The sequence below is a fragment of the Homo sapiens genome, chromosome 3, assembly GCF_000001405.40.
Source record: "Homo sapiens chromosome 3, GRCh38.p14 Primary Assembly".
NCBI classification, from domain to species: domain Eukaryota; kingdom Metazoa; phylum Chordata; class Mammalia; order Primates; family Hominidae; genus Homo; species Homo sapiens.
Genome location: NC_000003.12, coordinates 158,196,888 through 158,215,071, shown reverse-complemented (window position 1 = coordinate 158,215,071; position 18,184 = coordinate 158,196,888). Strand labels below are relative to the sequence as shown.

General features: G+C 34.8%; 1 protein-coding gene across 6 annotated transcripts in view; it reads right to left on the bottom strand.

Moving 5' to 3' along the window:
* Nucleotides 1-18,184, bottom strand: part of RSRC1 (arginine and serine rich coiled-coil 1) — a 435,642-nt gene that overhangs the window by 330,659 nt on the left and 86,799 nt on the right. For 5 of the 6 annotated variants that reach the window (NM_001271838.2, NM_016625.4, XM_047448273.1 and 2 more), the window contains exon 4: nt 11,827-12,000. The exons of the other annotated variant lie outside the window; for it this stretch is intronic. In NM_001271838.2, the coding sequence (NP_001258767.1) occupies nt 11,827-12,000 (174 nt within the window). The remainder of the gene's footprint in view (nt 1-11,826; nt 12,001-18,184) is intronic. 6 annotated transcript variants of the gene reach the window in all.

Sequence of the window (18,184 nt, the reverse complement as noted above, 5' to 3'; positions counted from 1 at the left end):
AACCAAACAAAAGCGCTAAAAAATACACAAAGCAAAATCTGACGTAACAAAATACAGAATTATAGTTAGAGACTTCAACACTTCTCTTTAGTAATCAACAACTAGTAGATGGAAATAAGCCAAGAGATAGAAAATTCCCATCAACCAACTGGATTTAATTGCTATTTATACAACAGATGACCTAACAACAGCAAAATACACATGGAACATTCACCAAGACAGACCATATCCTAATTCATAAAAATAACCTTAACTAATTTATAAGAGCTACAATCATACAAAGTATGTTTTTTGGTCATAATGAAATGAAGCTAGAATCAGTAAAAGAAAGATATAGGGAAATCTCCAAACACTTGAAATCATATATTTCATATCTAAATAATCCATGAATCAAAGAGGAAATCACAAGGAAAATTAGAAAATATTGAGAACTGAGAAGATATAAAAACACAACATATGAGAATTTGTGGGATGTAGCTCAAGCAGTGCTTAGAAAGACATTTATATCACTAAACACTTGTATTAGAAAAGAAAAAAGATCACAAATCAATAATCTAAGGTCCTACCTTAAGGAACTAGAAAAACATGTACAAATAAACTCAAAGAAGGAGAAAAAAAATAATAAAGAACAGAAATCAATAAAATTGAACAAAGAAAAACATTGACAAAAGATATCAATGAACCCCAAAAAATCCTCTAGCAATACTTACTCAAAAAATCAGGATATGAAAGGAAGTTATCACTACAGGTCACACAAAAATTTTAAAAAGATACTAAGGGAATACTATGAACAACTCTATGAATATAAACTCAACAACTAAGATGGAATAAGCCAATTCTTTGATAACCGAAAACTACTAAAACTCACCCAATATGAATACCAAAATCCAAGGATGCTCAAGTCCCTTACACAAAATAGCACAGTAACACATCCTCCTGTATACTTTAGATCATCTCTAGATTAATTATACCTAATATAATGTAAATGCTATGTAAATAGTTATACTGTACTTTTTGTATAATTTTTTATTGTTGTATTGTTATTTTTATTGTTTTTTCCCACAAACATTTCTGATCTGTGGTTGGTTGAATCCATGGATGTGGAACCTGCGGGTATGGAAGGCTGACTACACTAAAGCTGTCTTTGCCTAGAGAGCTTTGAATAATGAAAACATTTTTCTTCTACTACTGCCTTTTACAATTTTTAAGTGTACTTAATTTCTAAGTAGTTATGAATTTCACATCTGGCTTATTCCAAATACACATTATTTTTCAAAATCTGATATCTACCCATTTCTTTTTCTAATGTAGAATGCCCTCCTTTATCTTTCTCAAGAAAAAGAAGCTAAGGCTGCAACATGACAACCAAATTGATTTTCATGATCTATTTCCAGGTGGCCTGTCACAGGCTGGCATATCCACAGGGGCCAAAGACTGCAATTTCAAAACCTCCTGCAGGAGTTCAGAGAGAATTAAAACAGCAGTACTCATTGTTGTATTTCCCTAACTGCACTTGCTATGTTAGTGATCATCACATATGTAATAGCATTAAAAAGTGCTTTGGGTTTATACCCACAAGGTTCATTCTCTGAGATTTATCCTTATCTTCCTGTAGTTATATGCAATCTCGGAACCCAAGGATCATATCTTTATCACTAAATGAAAAGCATTAACCCCAATGATACCATTTGGAGATTTTCTTTTATTATATACTTTCATTGCCTTGAAATCTAAGATATGTTGACGACATTTACACAAATGGAATGCATTACAACTTACTCTGCTTTAGTAGAAAAGTACACCCCATAACTACATCTATCCAAAGAGACATATGTTATTCCTATCATCTGGCTATACTCATTTTATACTAGGATATTAAGAATATTTAAACCAGGCACTTTAAAACTGTCCTATAATATCACATTAGGATATAAAAATAAACCAACATAGAGATATCTGTTTCTTCAATCTTTGCCATTTAATCAAAGGAGGATAAATTTCTGATTCTATACTTGTGCTGACCAAGATTTATCTAACATGTCAATCAAGCATTATGGTTTATTCCAATCTGTTCCATTTTGGAGATGCCACTCCAATGATCACTAGACTGGGGAGAAAGCCTGTGAGAACAGAATAAACTCGAATTTTAAAAAAATACACAGCAGACTGCTTCTATTTGGTTTAGCATCATTCATATCAGGGATACTCAAGATGCTTTACAATGAGATATAAATTAGAACTGTAATGAGTGATTATAAGCAACAGCTTAGCATTTAGGGGACCTACTTGTTTACTTAGGAAGAAAAGACTTGACTGGCACTCCAAGTTTATTCCCTTTACGTTCCTCTAACAGTAGTGCAGACTCTCTAGCTTACAAAGCCATTCATAACCTTACTAAAGGCAAACACTAAGGCCTTCAGTTAAAGATCTCAATGAAATAGTGTGTTTAAGTCTGGTAGTCTGCCCTGTAACCATATACAAAATCAACAGAATAGGTGATATCAATTAAGTTCCTGAAATAAATTAGACTAGGCATGAAAAGTGATCAATCAGGACTGGAATTTTAATTGGTATTTAAAATATGAATCCTAGCAGTGACATTCAATTTTTTAAACAACTGATGCTAAATGATACTAACTGTAGCATGATTGATAACATTTAAAATACAGAAAAAAGTGAAAGTTACATAGGATTTTTTTTTAATGCAGTCTGGAGACTTGGATGGAAGTAGTGTATGTATGTGAATGCACACGCACACTTGAACCAGAAATGGGGTAGTACAAAAAAGTTGCTTAAAAAAAATGCAATGTTATCACTTTTACATGTTTCTAAGCTGGATTTAATTACCTAAAATCAACTTCAAAATAAACATGTATTATTCATTCTACAAATATTTGAGTACTTACTATAATCCAAGTAAATACAATGTTAACTAAGACAGACAAGGTAATTTGTAATCGTAACATTACAAAACTCTGTTCAGATTAGGTACAAATACAATGGGAATTAACTGCAAGGGTACTCAGCACACTCTTGAGGAGTTAGGAATACTTTACAAAATAAATGAAATTTAAAATGAACCCAAAAAGATGAATAGCAACTGGCAAGAAAAGTAGAGAAGAAAGTATTTCAGACTGAAGGAACAACCTTTAAAAAGACACAAAAGTGAGAAAAAAGAATGATAGTTGAGAAACTGGTAATCACAAAACCAATAGTTAAAACTGTTTTATCAATAAAAAATAAAATGATGACCATTTATTGAGCTGCTACTACATAGTACTAGTCTTCTGACACACACTGCTTCTAATAGTTAACATCTTCTCTATTACCATTATCTCCATCTTATGGAATAATAAATTTAAAGTTCAAAAAAGTTACTTGCCTTCTCACAGGAAAAAAACTGTAAATGACTTGAGATGATCAAAAAAGACTACCGGGTATATTGTCTAGGGCACCTTTCCTTATCTGAGGTATTTTTAGACTCCATAGATTATAGATAATTGATAGCAATGCAAATAATTCTTTTCTATAAACAGGCAAATGAATTTTGTCCAGTGGAGGTGTAATTGATTTCCTTCCCCTATGTGGAAGAAGCTAGTTTTGAATCTATTACGTTATTCATGGCTAGATTTTTGGTAGCCTACGTTTGTGTCTACTCCTGATCCTTTGAGCTACTTGTAACGTCTCACTTATTTTCTCATTAATTAGGTAAGTAATATCTTTGGCAAGTGTTCATGTATATTTGTATGAGGCATGGTTTTGCCGTTTTAAAAACAATCATCCCTCAGTAGCTCCAAAGCATAATGAGTCAGAATTTGAAGGTTTCTGTGCATTCCATACCGGTCCAAAGACAAGGGTCTTCCATTACACTACAACTCAGTACTCTTTCCCTTTTATTCCTGAATGTTAATGCTAACATAATTTTTGTAATACCTCTTGCAAAGGGTCCACTAAATTTTTTATAGACCATGTAATGAAACTTACTAAAAAGTCCAGCATGAGGCTACTCCCATCCTCTAACTTCTTCACATATCCCTAATTCCTCAGCCTCCTGTGGAATGAAAAAGGAAATTTAAAGTACCTTCTCTCATTCTAAAGCTTTCACAGTCGAGCAATCACCAAAAAAGAGAATGAACCTACAATTCATGCCATTTAAGACGTTATCAGGCATAATTCAAGTCAAATCCCATTGGGCACACTGTGTGATAATTTAAATGTACTGATATAATGTATAAAAGAAAGGTGGTTACCTTGGAGTACTGAGGAAATCCTTGTCTCCTGCTTTTGCTGAATGTTTTTTGTTATATTATGTTCCCTTTCTTGACCTCATCTTTTCTAAAAAATTAGATTATTTTGGTTAAATCAGAACTAATACCAAATATTCAAACCCACAGAATAGAAATTGGGTGGTAAATTTTGCTGTAATATAAAATGGCCAACAACACAATGGGCCACTATGTTATAATATTCATTTGGTTTATGAGGAAACTGTAAAAACTTTAATTTAAAAAGATTCCAGTGCACACATGTATATAAAGATGTATTTGTTTACCTGCTTAACAAAATTGACGGTATGAAGCTTTTTTTTTTTTTTTTGCATGCTATAATGACATGTGTTAAAGGTATACTTTCGATATACTGCTTTCGAACCAAACATTTACCCTTCGCCACTGGTGAAAGGCAACAAGATCTCTTTACAAAGTCTTCGTCTTTTTCAATAAATTTTGCATGAAGACATGTTATCCTGGCACAAAGTTGCCTGCTGTCACATTGGAAGTGTGATAAATGTTTAATGAAAACAACACCACACAGCTTGGTGTCAGACAACAGCTATCACACAGCCCTGCTTTGATCCAAACAGACACTTAAAAGGAGTTCTAAGCATGCTCTGCACCACAGAACTCTATAACCTATATGCAAATAGGGGTAAATTAGCATAAATTACTTCCTGCTGTATAAATAACAGGTTAGGAAAAATATGACAGACTCTATAAGTATGTAACTGCTGTCAAAACTCAGAGTCCAGCTTTCCCAAATCACTCCCAACATCTTCTACCAATCACTAGGTAGAGGGAATAAAAAACAAAACCCCTTATTGACAGGAATTTATTACATGAAACTCTAAAACTGAAGACACTGGAATTTTGCCAAGGTTAAAGCCATAACTAACATATATCTATAAAGTATGATTACTACATGGTACTAGTTTTCTTATTCACACTGCTTATAATACTTACAGCTTTTTAAGTACCACCATCCCCATATTATAGAAAAATAAATTATATATCCAGAGGCAAATTCTTACCTCTCTCAAAAAGTATAAAGCTTCTGAAAATTATACAAAGAAAAATGGAAGAATGTATAAATACAAGTATTTCAGTAAAATATCCCAAAAGTCTTGTTGGGTACATTTCTCAGAACAGCATCCATCTACTGAAAATCCAATGAGGAAATAATAACGGTGAAAACTTTTCATGGTAGCAGGTCATGAAGAAAGGCACACTTAGAAATACAAAATTAGGTTCCTAATGAATTCTAAAGTTATTCAAATTACGAAGAAAGCATTTTAGTAGGTGTCTTGGTGCATTCTGTGCTGCTATAACAGAATGCAATGGTTTGGGTCATTAGTTTATAATGAATAAAAATTTATTGCCTCACAGTTCTGGATGCTGGGAAGTCCAAGATTGAGAGGCCAGCATCTGATGATGAACTTCTTGCTGCATCATTCCAAAGAAGAAAGGCAAAGAGCACGTAGGAGGGGGAAGCCTTATAAGAAACCTACTCCCATGATAGCATACCCACTCCCTTGATAACTGCATTAATCCATTCATGAGGGAAGACCCACCTTCCATAAAGGTCCCACCTCCCAACACTGCCGCAATTTGGATCAAGTTTCCAACACAAAAACTTTGGGAGACATATTCAAACCACAGCAGTAGGCAACAACTGCCTGAAACCAAATTTTCCTAGCTGGTGATTTAAATCAATCCCATCCAAATTCCCCTTTTAAGGATGGCACTGTGATTTAAGAATGAGTAGTAGAACATCACTAGTGGCTACTTACATATTTGTTCACAACTAATTTTTCAAAGACATATTTAAAGAGGTTTTATACCAGTCAACTATATGTTAGGCAGTTTGGATCAAGATGTAGGTAAAGAAGGTCCAATAATATGTTAATCCACAGAAGACTTAGATAGGATGTATAACATTCACCATCATCAAATCAAATTGCAATTATGAGATGCCATGACAAGTTTCCTATTTCTGATTGTTGACTCTCAATAACAGTTTAACAAAATAATGTTGTATCCAATTTCAACTTAACAACTCTGCTATTAAGAAAAATCTGTTTTCATAATGCAAAGACATTATCCCTTATAAAAATTGTAATGATCTAGGGCCTGGCACAGTGGCTCACTCCTGTAATCCTAGTGCTTTGGAAGGCCAAAGCCAGAGGATTGCTTGAGACCAGGAGTTTGAGGCCAGCCTGGTCAACATAGTGAGACTTTATCTCAAGAAAAAATAAAGAATAAAAAAATTAGCCAAGTTTCGTGGTGAACACTTGCAGTACTAGCTACTTAAGAGGCTAAGGTGGGAGGATCACTGGAGTCCAGGAGTTCAAGGTTGCAGTGAGCTATGATCACATCCCTGCACTCCAGCCTGAGCAACAAAATGAGACCCTGTCTCTAAAAATTACAAATTAGAAAAAAAGAAATACAGTTGCTCTGACTACGGAGTAGCCATTCTTTACTCCTTTACTTTCTTAATAAATTGCTTTCACTTTTAAAAAATGAAATTTTCTAAAGATAAGAAATATTTATTTTTAAAATTTGGGGGGAAAACAAAAAAGAAAAATCTGTATCAGTGTTTAAAGGAGAAAATATTCTTAGAAACTAAATTTTATAAATATAAAACATTAAAAGTCATTAAACATTCTTGATAAAATTTCAGACAGGACTCGATGTCTTTCTTATATTAATCATTCACACAGTGTTATAAGGAAAGGCATCTTTTAGTCCCTAGAAACTCCTGAGACCTTTCCAGTTTATATTAGGTCTTCCTAAATCTGTAGATAAATAAAATTAGCAGGCCAATTTATGACATTATAAGACGAATTCTACAATTTTAATGTTCTAGGTATTTCCAGAACTATAATTAGCTGTTATTTAAAAAGGGTTTTTCAGAATTATCTGATCTCGCATTTTTTTCTCAAAAGTATAAAAAAGCTCTCCCTCATTATTAAGCTCATTAATTCCTGCTTGAGCATTCCTTTCTTTCCTGTTTTGTTTTTCCCAATTTATAAACAACCTTTACCTTGCTTTACCATTACTGTACTTACTGTCCTTGCTTTTTGTGCTTTATAAATATATACTTTGTGTCCTGTCTGTCTGTCTGTCTCTCTGTCTATCTATCTATCTATCTATCTATCTAAATACTGTTACTTTTGCACATAGGTTGTTTTCCCATGTGAAGAAGCACTTAGGTTACTTAGCACAAGCTAAAACACTTGTCATGCACTGCACAATCACAATGAACTAATACATAAGTCCTAATTTAAATGTTTGTGAATCCTTTTTCCTCTCTCTCTCTCCACAAATTTTTTAAAGCCACCTGGAAAAAAGACAGCTAATGAAACCATCACTAAAATAAACTTAATTAAGGCCTAGGAATTGTCTGTGAAGATAATTAAATATAATTCTAAATAGATGAAATGCTGAGGTGGGAAAGTAAGAACGAAGAGAGAGGGAGAAAAGAAGGGATCAATCTTTTACTAATGAGATTTCTGGGCTGATCAGGGAAAAACAGTGTACAGAAAATTCTTTCAGTTCTATTTTCTAGGAACGTTTAAACAACAGTATATCACTTGATCTCAAACTCTCTTGTTCATCATTAATAATTATGGATTACTAAAGAAATGAGGATAGTGTGTCGTTAAGAGGCAGGTGACAGTCAGTCCATTTGAATTAGAAGCCTAACTCTGCCGTTTATTAGCTCTATGACCACAAGCCTAAGCACCTTCATCTATATTAATAGGATAATAAAAGCACCTATTTCATCAGGTTATTAAATGAGATAATATATGTCAAATGCTTAGCAAAATTCCTGATACTGAAAAAATACATTTAAAATGTTAGATGCTTATCTTTTGTTTTTTTAAACGGAGTCTCACTTTGTCGCCCAGGCTAGAGTGCAATGGCACGATCTCAGCTCACTGCAACCTCCACCTCCTGGGTTCAAGCAATTCTCTTGCCTCAGCCTCCCAAGTAGCTGGGATTACAGGCACGCACCACTATGCCCAGCTAATTTTTGTATTTTTAGTAGAGACAGGGTTTCACCATGTTGGTCAGGCTGGACTCAAACTCCTGACCTCAGGTGATCCACCCGCCTCGGCCTCCCAAAGTGCTGAGATTACAGGCGTGAGCCACCATGCCTGGCCGATGCTTATCTTTTTACGTCCACTGTGAGTAAAGCATTTTGTTCATACCCCATGTAGACCCAATCACATCATTTCTCTACTTGAAACTCTACATTGGCATCCCACTGCCTCCAGAATTAACTGCATACTCAAAGCCCTCTCATAATCATCTCTCATCATTATTTATCTTCTACTCTAAACCAAGCCCCACTAGACTTCAGTCCCTCAAATTGTACCACACACATCCTGATGCCTCCAAGCCTTTCCATATGAAATTCATTTTGCATGATCATTCCTCCCCATCTCTTACTTCAATATGTAAAATCACTTCATCTGAGAGCCCTTCCCTGACACAGAGACTAGTTAAGATCAACCAGCTTGAAGTTTATGGAGGGAAATATCTCTCAACCAGAAGGTGTCAAGACTGAAAATGAAAGCCAACATGCTTAGACTAGCCTGTGAGAAGTATAAAAACAGCCTCAGACTGCTTATCTTTTAACTGCTCATTATTAGCGGTAAGTGCACTCATAGTTTAAGCCAGAAATGACAAATAACAACTCTTGAGCCAAATCCAGCCAGACACCCATTTTTATAAATAGTTTTACTGAAATACGGCCTTCCTGTTAGTTTACTATTACCTATAGTTGTAAAGTTCAGTAGCTGCAACAGAGACCAAATGATCCAGAAAGCCTAAATTATTTACTATCTAGCCCAATCTTCTCCAACTTGCAGCCCGTGGGCCACATGCAGCCCAGGACAGCTTCGAATGTGGCCCAACACAAATTCGTAAACTTTCTTAAAACATTATGAGATTTTTGTGATTTTTTTTTAGCTCATCAGCTATCGTTAGAGTATTTCATATGTGGCCCAAAACAATTCTTCTTCTTCCAGTGTGGCCCAGGGAAGCCAGAAGATTGGATACCCCTAATCTAGCCCTTTACAAAAGTTTGCTGACCCTTGGTTTAATTTAAGCTACTCTTAGTTAGGTTTCGTTACAGCCAAAGCATCCTAACTGGTACAGTGTTTCCACAGCTCTTTTTACTTTTCCTACTGGAAAAATTCATCCGACTTTACTATAATCACTTGCATATCTTCCCTTCTACACATGTTTATATTCCCACCTGTGTGAAAGCTCCAAGCAGTACTGGCACTAACATTTATATCCTTATTACTTAACACAGTACCTGACAAGTAGAAGGCATTTAAATACTGTTGACTGAACAATTAAACAGATGAATGAATGTGCATATTTGATAATCAATATTTAAATATTAAATATTTAACAAAAATTAACATGTACATTAGGTGCTCTGAGTGATACAAAAGATTCTAAGTCCAGAATGGCTTGAAAATCAGGCTTAGGAAATATAAGAATCTGTGTGCACCTCAGCACTAAGCAAGGGAAAGGGCACCCTAACACAACACTATCCTCTACTACGGCCCACTAAAACCATAATGCAGACTACCCACAGTTTTTTGGCATCAGTCCCCAGTGCCCTTTTATTTTGCACCTCTTATTTTGACTTTGTTCATTGCCTTTGTTGAAATTAATGTTAAGAAATAACGACAAATACAACACTATTATCTTGTAAACTTGCCATCCAGAAATTGGTCCACTTGAACACAATCAACTATGAGTGAGAGATGAGTCTAACCTGTAAAGCTGGCTGAGACATTCAAGATTAATGTTACCATATGAGAACCCTTTTTAACACAATCTAACCTTTCTGTTTTATTCACTCTCTCATATTTCTTACCTTTAAAATTCCCCATATAATGTTTTATATAATATAAATTTTATGCAATTACACAAGTATTATTCTAAAAAAGTAAACTTTGGTGAGGTGGAAGGCAAAAATTTAATGACCAGTAAAAATCATAGCTTTCTTCCACAGCCATGTAATTTTTAAAAACAAAACCAAAAGAAGAAAAAATTTTAAAAGGAACCAGAAGCAAGGCAGTTCCTTGATTGACAAGTTTTATTCATTAAGCATATTTTCCAGACTCAGAACTCTACTGTATGTAAATCCTCCCTTCGAATTTATCATCCTACTGACTTTCTCCCGTTACCAAGAGATTTTCCCAATATGCTTTCTGCCTTCATTCCATTTTACCAGTGCTGGCTAACTCAGCCTCCCCACCTTTACAGACAGGTATCTAACTTCTAACTCCTCTCCTGTAACATTTCACAATCCTTAAAACTAGAAGAGGATAGAACTCAGAATTTTACAGGAACATAACTGATTACTGTACATTAATGGTTGTGGGATGATCAGGTGAACAAAAGTCACATAATAATATGTTATCCTCTTCCAAACTCCACCACAAATTTAACATTTAAAGAATACTTAAAAGCCAACAATCTAGGCAGATTTATATAACATCACTATAAATTTGGAAATAAAAAATAAACACACAAACAACTGTGAAAAAGAAAGGAATGAGGAAAGAGTTCTGTATCTTTTAATAAACTTAATAATTCTTTATAGAATCAAGATCTCAGGATACTATATGTGCAATCCTAGTAAACTCTTCAACATGGAAAACTAATACATTAAATATAAACACATTTATATTGAAGTATTACAATAAATATATTCACACAAGACACTGAAAGACTGACAAAAGAGGATAAATTCCAAGATTAGATTCTACTTCCTAGAATAAAAGACCCCAATTACAATTTTGAATAAAACAAACAAGATGCTGTAAATTTACTCTGTTAAAAAAGATTGTTTCATTTTAATGTTTTCTAATTTGACAAACACTTATGAGTGGATTTCAAGTTCTGTCTCTAAATGGACAAAACTAGAATCTCATTGTTTTAATAATATCAATTCTATGAAAAATAAAATCTGGACCTCATAAGCAGATACACTCACTCTTACAAACACACACATACCCTAATATTGCCCAAGCTCCCATTCTATACTAAAAAAGGCTTAAACAATAGTAAATCACATGGTCCCCTCCTTCTGTTTCAACTTTATACTTTTCCGCTAACAGCTTTACAATATGGTAATAGACATTTTTAATCACTAAGTAGTCTACAAATTTTAAGTTCATACTCATAACAAAGGAAACAGAGTATGAAACTTTCCTACAGAATTAGGCAAATTTTCCTCTACTTACATACTAAACTTTGATATTGCTGTTTATATTGATTCCAATATTGTTATATTATTATTAAATAAAAATAGAAATGAAAATGTACCACAGTAAAAATCTGAGGTAACTATTTTGATTTATCCTTTCTTCCTTCTCTACTGTATTCTCTCTTTTTATTCCATTTTCTTCTACTCTTATAGCAAATAAGCCACAAGAAAAACCTCAGAGAACAAAAATTTAGTTTGAACATCGCCATGGAATCACCAAGTCCTTACCAGATAAGATTTGCTCCAACTTACCCACGTTTGATGTTATGTAATTCCTTGTCCTTCCCTTTATCCTTCTCCTTTTCTCTTTTCTCTTTATCTCTGCCCTTACGTCGTTCTCTATCCCGAGACCGACTACGCGTTCTTCTGTGACTGGACCTTTCACTGCTACGACTATGAGAACGGAGACGAGGTCTTGACCTGGACCTACAGTAAGCAGATTTTGTTAAATAAACTTAGTGTATAATTTGTATCGTGAAAAGTAAATACTCTTTTAAATTATCTGAAAAAAACTACTTAGTTTTAGTTGTGGACTCAGAAATAAATAACCACGTGAAGCAAGCACCTGAATATGATTCTTTATAAGTAAATGCTCTCACTTAATATGAGGGAAATATATATGCTAACTTTATAGGAAATTATGATGCAGTTAAAAAGTGTTTGCCTTAAAGGTTCAAATCTAGTCTTAATTATTCACATCTCCTCAAATAATGTATCTAATTTAATCTACAAGAATAAGGCTTTCCTTTTCTCTACAATCTTTGCTTCCATTATCTATTCAACCTTATTTCTTATTTCTAATTGTTCCAATATAAATACTGATCCACTCCAATCCAGCTATTCTTTGTATTAAATGCATTACAGTAAAATACTAAGAAGTAATTATTTCAGGTTCTGGTTACAATATTGATAAAACATATATATATATATATATAATCTACCAGACTGACAACCCTACAGATAATTTTTAAAAACAACTCAGGTTGACCCTTGAACAACATGGGTTTCAACCGCATGGATCCACTTACATGTGGATTTTCTTCCATCTCTGCCACCACTGAGACAGCAAGGCAAACCCCACCTCTGCCTCTTCCTTCTGAGCCTATTCAACATGAAGATGAGGATGACAACCTTTATGATGACCCACTTCCACTTAGTGAATATTAAATATATTTTATATTCATGCTGGGTGCAGCAGCTGACGCCTGTAATCCCAGCACTTTGGGAGGCCAAGGCGGGCAGATCACTTGAGGTCAGGGGTCCGAGACCAGCCTGGCCAACATGGTGAAACTCCATCTCTACTAAAAATATAAAAATTAGCTGGGCGTGGTGGCACATGCCTGTAATCCCAGCTACTCAAGAAGCTGAAACAGGAGAATCACTTGAACCTCGGAGGTGGAGGTTGCAGTGAGCCCAGATTGCACCACTGCACTCCAGCCTGGGTGACAGAGAAAGACTCCATCTCAAAACAAACAAAACAGAATTGTTGCCATTTTAATCCAACCATGTGATTTCCCTCCTAAACAAAAAAATAAACAAAGGTACATTTTTCGAGGAAAATAACAGAGTATTCATAATATGATATTCACTTTGTCCAGGATAAAAACTCAAAATTCCTAGATATATGAAGAAACACAAAAAATGTGTTCTATTCTTAAAAGAAAAGACAGCATATGAAGAGCAACCCTGAGACTAAACTAGATGTTAAAATTAGCAGATAAGGATTTTAAAGCATTAAGTGTAACTAGGCTTATAATGAAGATAAAGTTAAGCAATCTCAATAGAAATACCAGAATACGAAAAAAAATTCTGTAATTGAAAAACACAATCTCTGAAATTAAAATTATGCTGGATGAGATTAAAAGCACACTGGTAATAACAGAGGAAAGAATCTGTATACATGCAAATAAATCAATCAAAATTACCCAATATGAAGAATTAAGAGGAAAAAAGACTGTAATAAGAAAGCCCCTCAGGGATCTGTGTGACAAGATTCAAATGCCTAACATGTTTATTTAAACCCAGAAATAGAGAAAACAGAGGATGAAGCAGAAAACATTTTTTCAGTGGTGAGTGAAAATTTTCCAAATTTAATAAAAGACAAATTTACAGATTCTATATTAGAAGTTCAACAAACCAAGTAAGATAAATATTAAGAAGACCATGATTAGAAATACTACAGTCAAATTGATAAAAACTAAAGGTAAAGAGAAATCTTGAAAGTATTCAGAGGAAAAAACAACACATTACATACAGGGGAACAATGATACAAATTATTGCTACTGACCTCTTATCAAAAATAATGGAAATCAGAAGACAGTGGAATGAAATTCTTAACATGGTGAAAGAAAACAAAAGGTCAACCTAGAATTTTATACCCAGCAAAAACATCCCTCAAAAATGAAAGTAAAATAAGGACATTTTTGAGACAAAGGAAAAGTAAACAAATATCAACAGAAGACTTGCATTACAATAAATACTAAAGAAAGTTCTTCAGGCTGAAAAGGAATGACAACAGATGAAAGCATGGCTCTTTAGGAGGAAATGAAGACTAATAGAAAGTAAATAAATGGGTAAGTATCAAAAACTGCTTATTTCCCTTAATTTATTTAAAACACATATAAGTGCTCAAAGTAAAAATAATAGCATTTTACTCTAAGGTTTATACTGAAAGTAGACATAATACAAATAACCTCTATAGAATAAAGCATGGGGCAGGTAAATGAACCTATACTGTTAAAAGGTTCCTATATTTCACATTAAATGGTGAAATAATAACTTTAAGTACACTGAAATGTTAAGAGCATATACTGTAATCCTTAGAGCAACTACTAAAAAAAGAAGAAAATAAGTATAGCTAAAAAGTCAATAGATTGCTTTTAAAGGAATTATTAAAAATACTCATTAATCCAAAAGGAAGCTGGAAAGGAAGCAAAAAGAAAAAAGAAGGGAAAGACATAAAATAATCATAAAATGATAGACTTAAATCTAATTATATCAATAAGTACATTAGATATTAATAAACAAAATATTGTAAAAAGGCAGTTTGTCAAATTAATAAAAAGCAATACTGTATGCCATCTAAAACAACAACTACATGCTATCTACAAAATATGTACTTTAAATAAGCAGACACAGATAGGTTAAAAGTAAATGGCCAGGCCGGGCGTGGTAGCTCACGCCTCTAATCCCAGCACTTTGGGAGGCTGAGGTGAGGGGATCACGAGGTCAGGAGATCGAGACCATCCGGGCTAACATGGTGAAACCCTGTCTCTACTAAAAAATACAAAAAATTAGCTGGGCATGGTGGCGGATGCCTGTAGTCCCAGCTACTTGGGAGGCTGAGGCAGAAGAATGGAGTGAACCTGGGAGACGGAGCTTGCAGTGAGCCAAGATAGCGCCACTGCACTCCAGCCTGGGTGACAGAACAAGACTCCGTCTCAAAAAAAAAGTAAATGGATAAAAATATATACATCATATAAACAGCAAGTACAGGAAAGCTAAAGTTAATATATTAATGTCACATAAACTATACTTCAGAAACTAAGAGTGTCACCCAAAATAAAAATGGATACTTCATGATGATCAAAAGGGTCAATTCATAGGCAGAAATCATGCAGAACATGTTTCTCTGACCAAAACAGAATTAAATTAGAATTTAACAATAAGACATACAGAAAACCTCCAGATATATGGAAACCAAATAATCCACTTTTAAATAATCCATGAGTAAAGTAAGAAAGCACAAAGGAAATTTAAAAATATTTTGAACTGAATGAAAATGAAAAATACAACATATGAGAATTTGTGGGATGCAGATAAAGCAACGTTTAGGGAGAAATTTATAGTTTTAAATGTTTATACTAGAAAAGAAGAAATATCTAAAATCAATTACCTAAGGTTTCACTTGAAGAAGCTACAAAATGAAGAGCAAAGCACTATAAATCCAAAGTAGTTGGAAGAAAGGAAACATTAAAGAGAAAAATCAATGGAAGAGAAAACTAACAAAGTCAAAATCTAGTACCCTGAGAATATCAATAAAATTAATGTCTCAGCGAAACTCATCAAATGAAAGAAAAAGAGCAAATACAAATAACCAATACAAATTACCAAAGAATAAAGAATGTGGATGATGGAGACATCACATGAACTCATCCTAGATACTCAGGATATATATTAGTCCATTTTCACGCTGCTGATAAAGACATACCTGAGACTGGGAAATTTACAAAAGAAAGAGGTTTATTAGACCTACATTTCCACATGGCTGGGGAGGCCTCACAATCATGGTGGAAGGCAAGGAGTAGCAAGTCACATCTTACGCGGATAGCAGCAGGCAAAGAAAGAGCTTGTGCAGAGAAACTCCCGTTTTTACCTTCAGATCTCATGAGACCCAATCACTATCATGAGAATAGCGTGAGAAAGACCCTCCCTGATGATTCAATCATCTCCCATGGGGTCCCTCCCACCACACGTGGAAATTATGGGAGCTACAAGATGAGATTTGGGTGGGGACACAGAGCCAAACCACATCAGGATATATGTAAGTCTTTAAGAGAATTACATGGCTTTCAGCAGCAGTAATATTTGTCCTTGTCCATCTCTAATGGGTTCACTTAATAAAGAAGAATATTGGATCATAAACCCACAAACTTTCTCAATGTGATATTAAGAAATTTCTTGCGGGGGGTGGAGCCAAGATGGCCGAATACGAACAGCTCCAGTCTACATCTCCCAGCATGAGTGACGCAGAAGATGGGTGATTTCTGCATTTCCAACTGAGGTACCAAGTTCATCTCACTGGGGAGTGTCGGACAGTGGGTGCACGACAGTGGGTGAAGGAAGCACTAAACATGGAAAGGAACAACCGGTACCAGCCACTGCAACAACATGCCAAATTGTAAAGACCGTCGAGGCTAGGAAGAAAATGCATCAACTAACGAGCAAAATAACCAGCTAACATCATAATGACAGGATCAAATTCACACATAACAATATTAACCTTAAATATAAATGGGCTAAATGCTCCAATTAAAAGACACAGACTGGCAAGGTGGGTAGAGTCCAGACCCATCAGGGTGCTGTATTCAGGAAATCCATCTCACATGCAGAGATACACATAAGCTCAAAATAAAGGGATGGAGGAAGATCTACCAAGCAAATGGGAAACAAAAAAAGGCAGGGGTTGCAATCCTAGTCTCTGATAAAACAGACTTTAAACCAACACAAATCAAAAGAGACCAAGAAGGCCATTACATAATGGTAAAGGGATCAATTCAACAAGAAGAGCTAACTATCCTAAATATATATGCACCCAATACAGGAGCACCCAGATTCATAAAGCAAGTCCTCAGAGACTTACAAAGAGACTTAGACTCCCACACATTAATAATGGGAGACTTTAACACCCCACTGTCAACATTAGATAGATCAACGAGACAGAAAGTTAACAAGCATATCCAGGAATTGAACTCAGCTCTGCACCAAGCCGACCTAATAGACATCTACAGAACTCTCCACCCCAAATCAACAGAATATACATTCTTTTTAGCACCACACCACTCCTACTCCAAAACTGACCACATAGTGGGAATAAAGCTCTCCTCAGCAAATGTAAAGGAACAGAAATTATAACAAACTGTCTCTCAGACCACAGTGCAATCAAACGAGAACTGACGATTAAGAAACTCACTCAAAACCGCTCAACTACATGGAAACTGAACAACCTGCTCCTGAATGACTACTGGGTACATAACGAAATGAAGACAGAAATAAAGATGTTCTTTGAAACCAACGAGAACAAAGACATAATATACCAGAATCTCTGGGACACATTCAAAGCAGTGTGTAGAGGGAAATTTATAGTACTAAATGCCCACAAGAGAAAGCAGGAAAGATCTAAAATTGACATCCTAACATCACAACTAGAGAAACAAGAGCAAACACATTCAAAAGCTAGCAGAAGGCAAGAAATAACTAACATCAGAGCAGAACTGAAGGAGATAGAGACAAAAAATCCCTTCAAAAAATCAATGAAATCAGGAGCTGCTTTTGTGAAAAGATCAACAAAATTGATAGGCCGCTACCAAGACTAATAAAGAAGAAAAGAGAGAAGAATCCAATAGACGCAATAAAAAATGAAAAAGGGGATATCACCACCAATCCCACAGAAATACAAACTACCATCAGAGAATACTATAAACACCTCTATGCAAATAAACTAGAAAATCTAGAAGAAATGGATAAATTCCTCGACACATACACCCTCCCAAGACTAAACCAGGAAGAAGTTGAATCCCTGAATAGACCAATAACAGGCTCTGAAATTGAGGCAACAATTAATAGCTTACCAACCAAAAACAGTCCAGGACCAGATGGATTCACAGCCAAATTCTACCAGAGGTACAAGGAGGAGCTGATACCATTCCTTCTGAAACTATTCCAATCAATAGAAAAAGAGGGAATCATCCCTAACTCGTTTTATGAGGCCGGCATCATTCTGATACCAAAGCCTGGCAGAGACACAACAAAAAAAGAGAATTTTAGACCAATATCCCTGATGAACATCGATGCAAAAATCCTCAATAAAATACTGGCAAACCGAATCCAG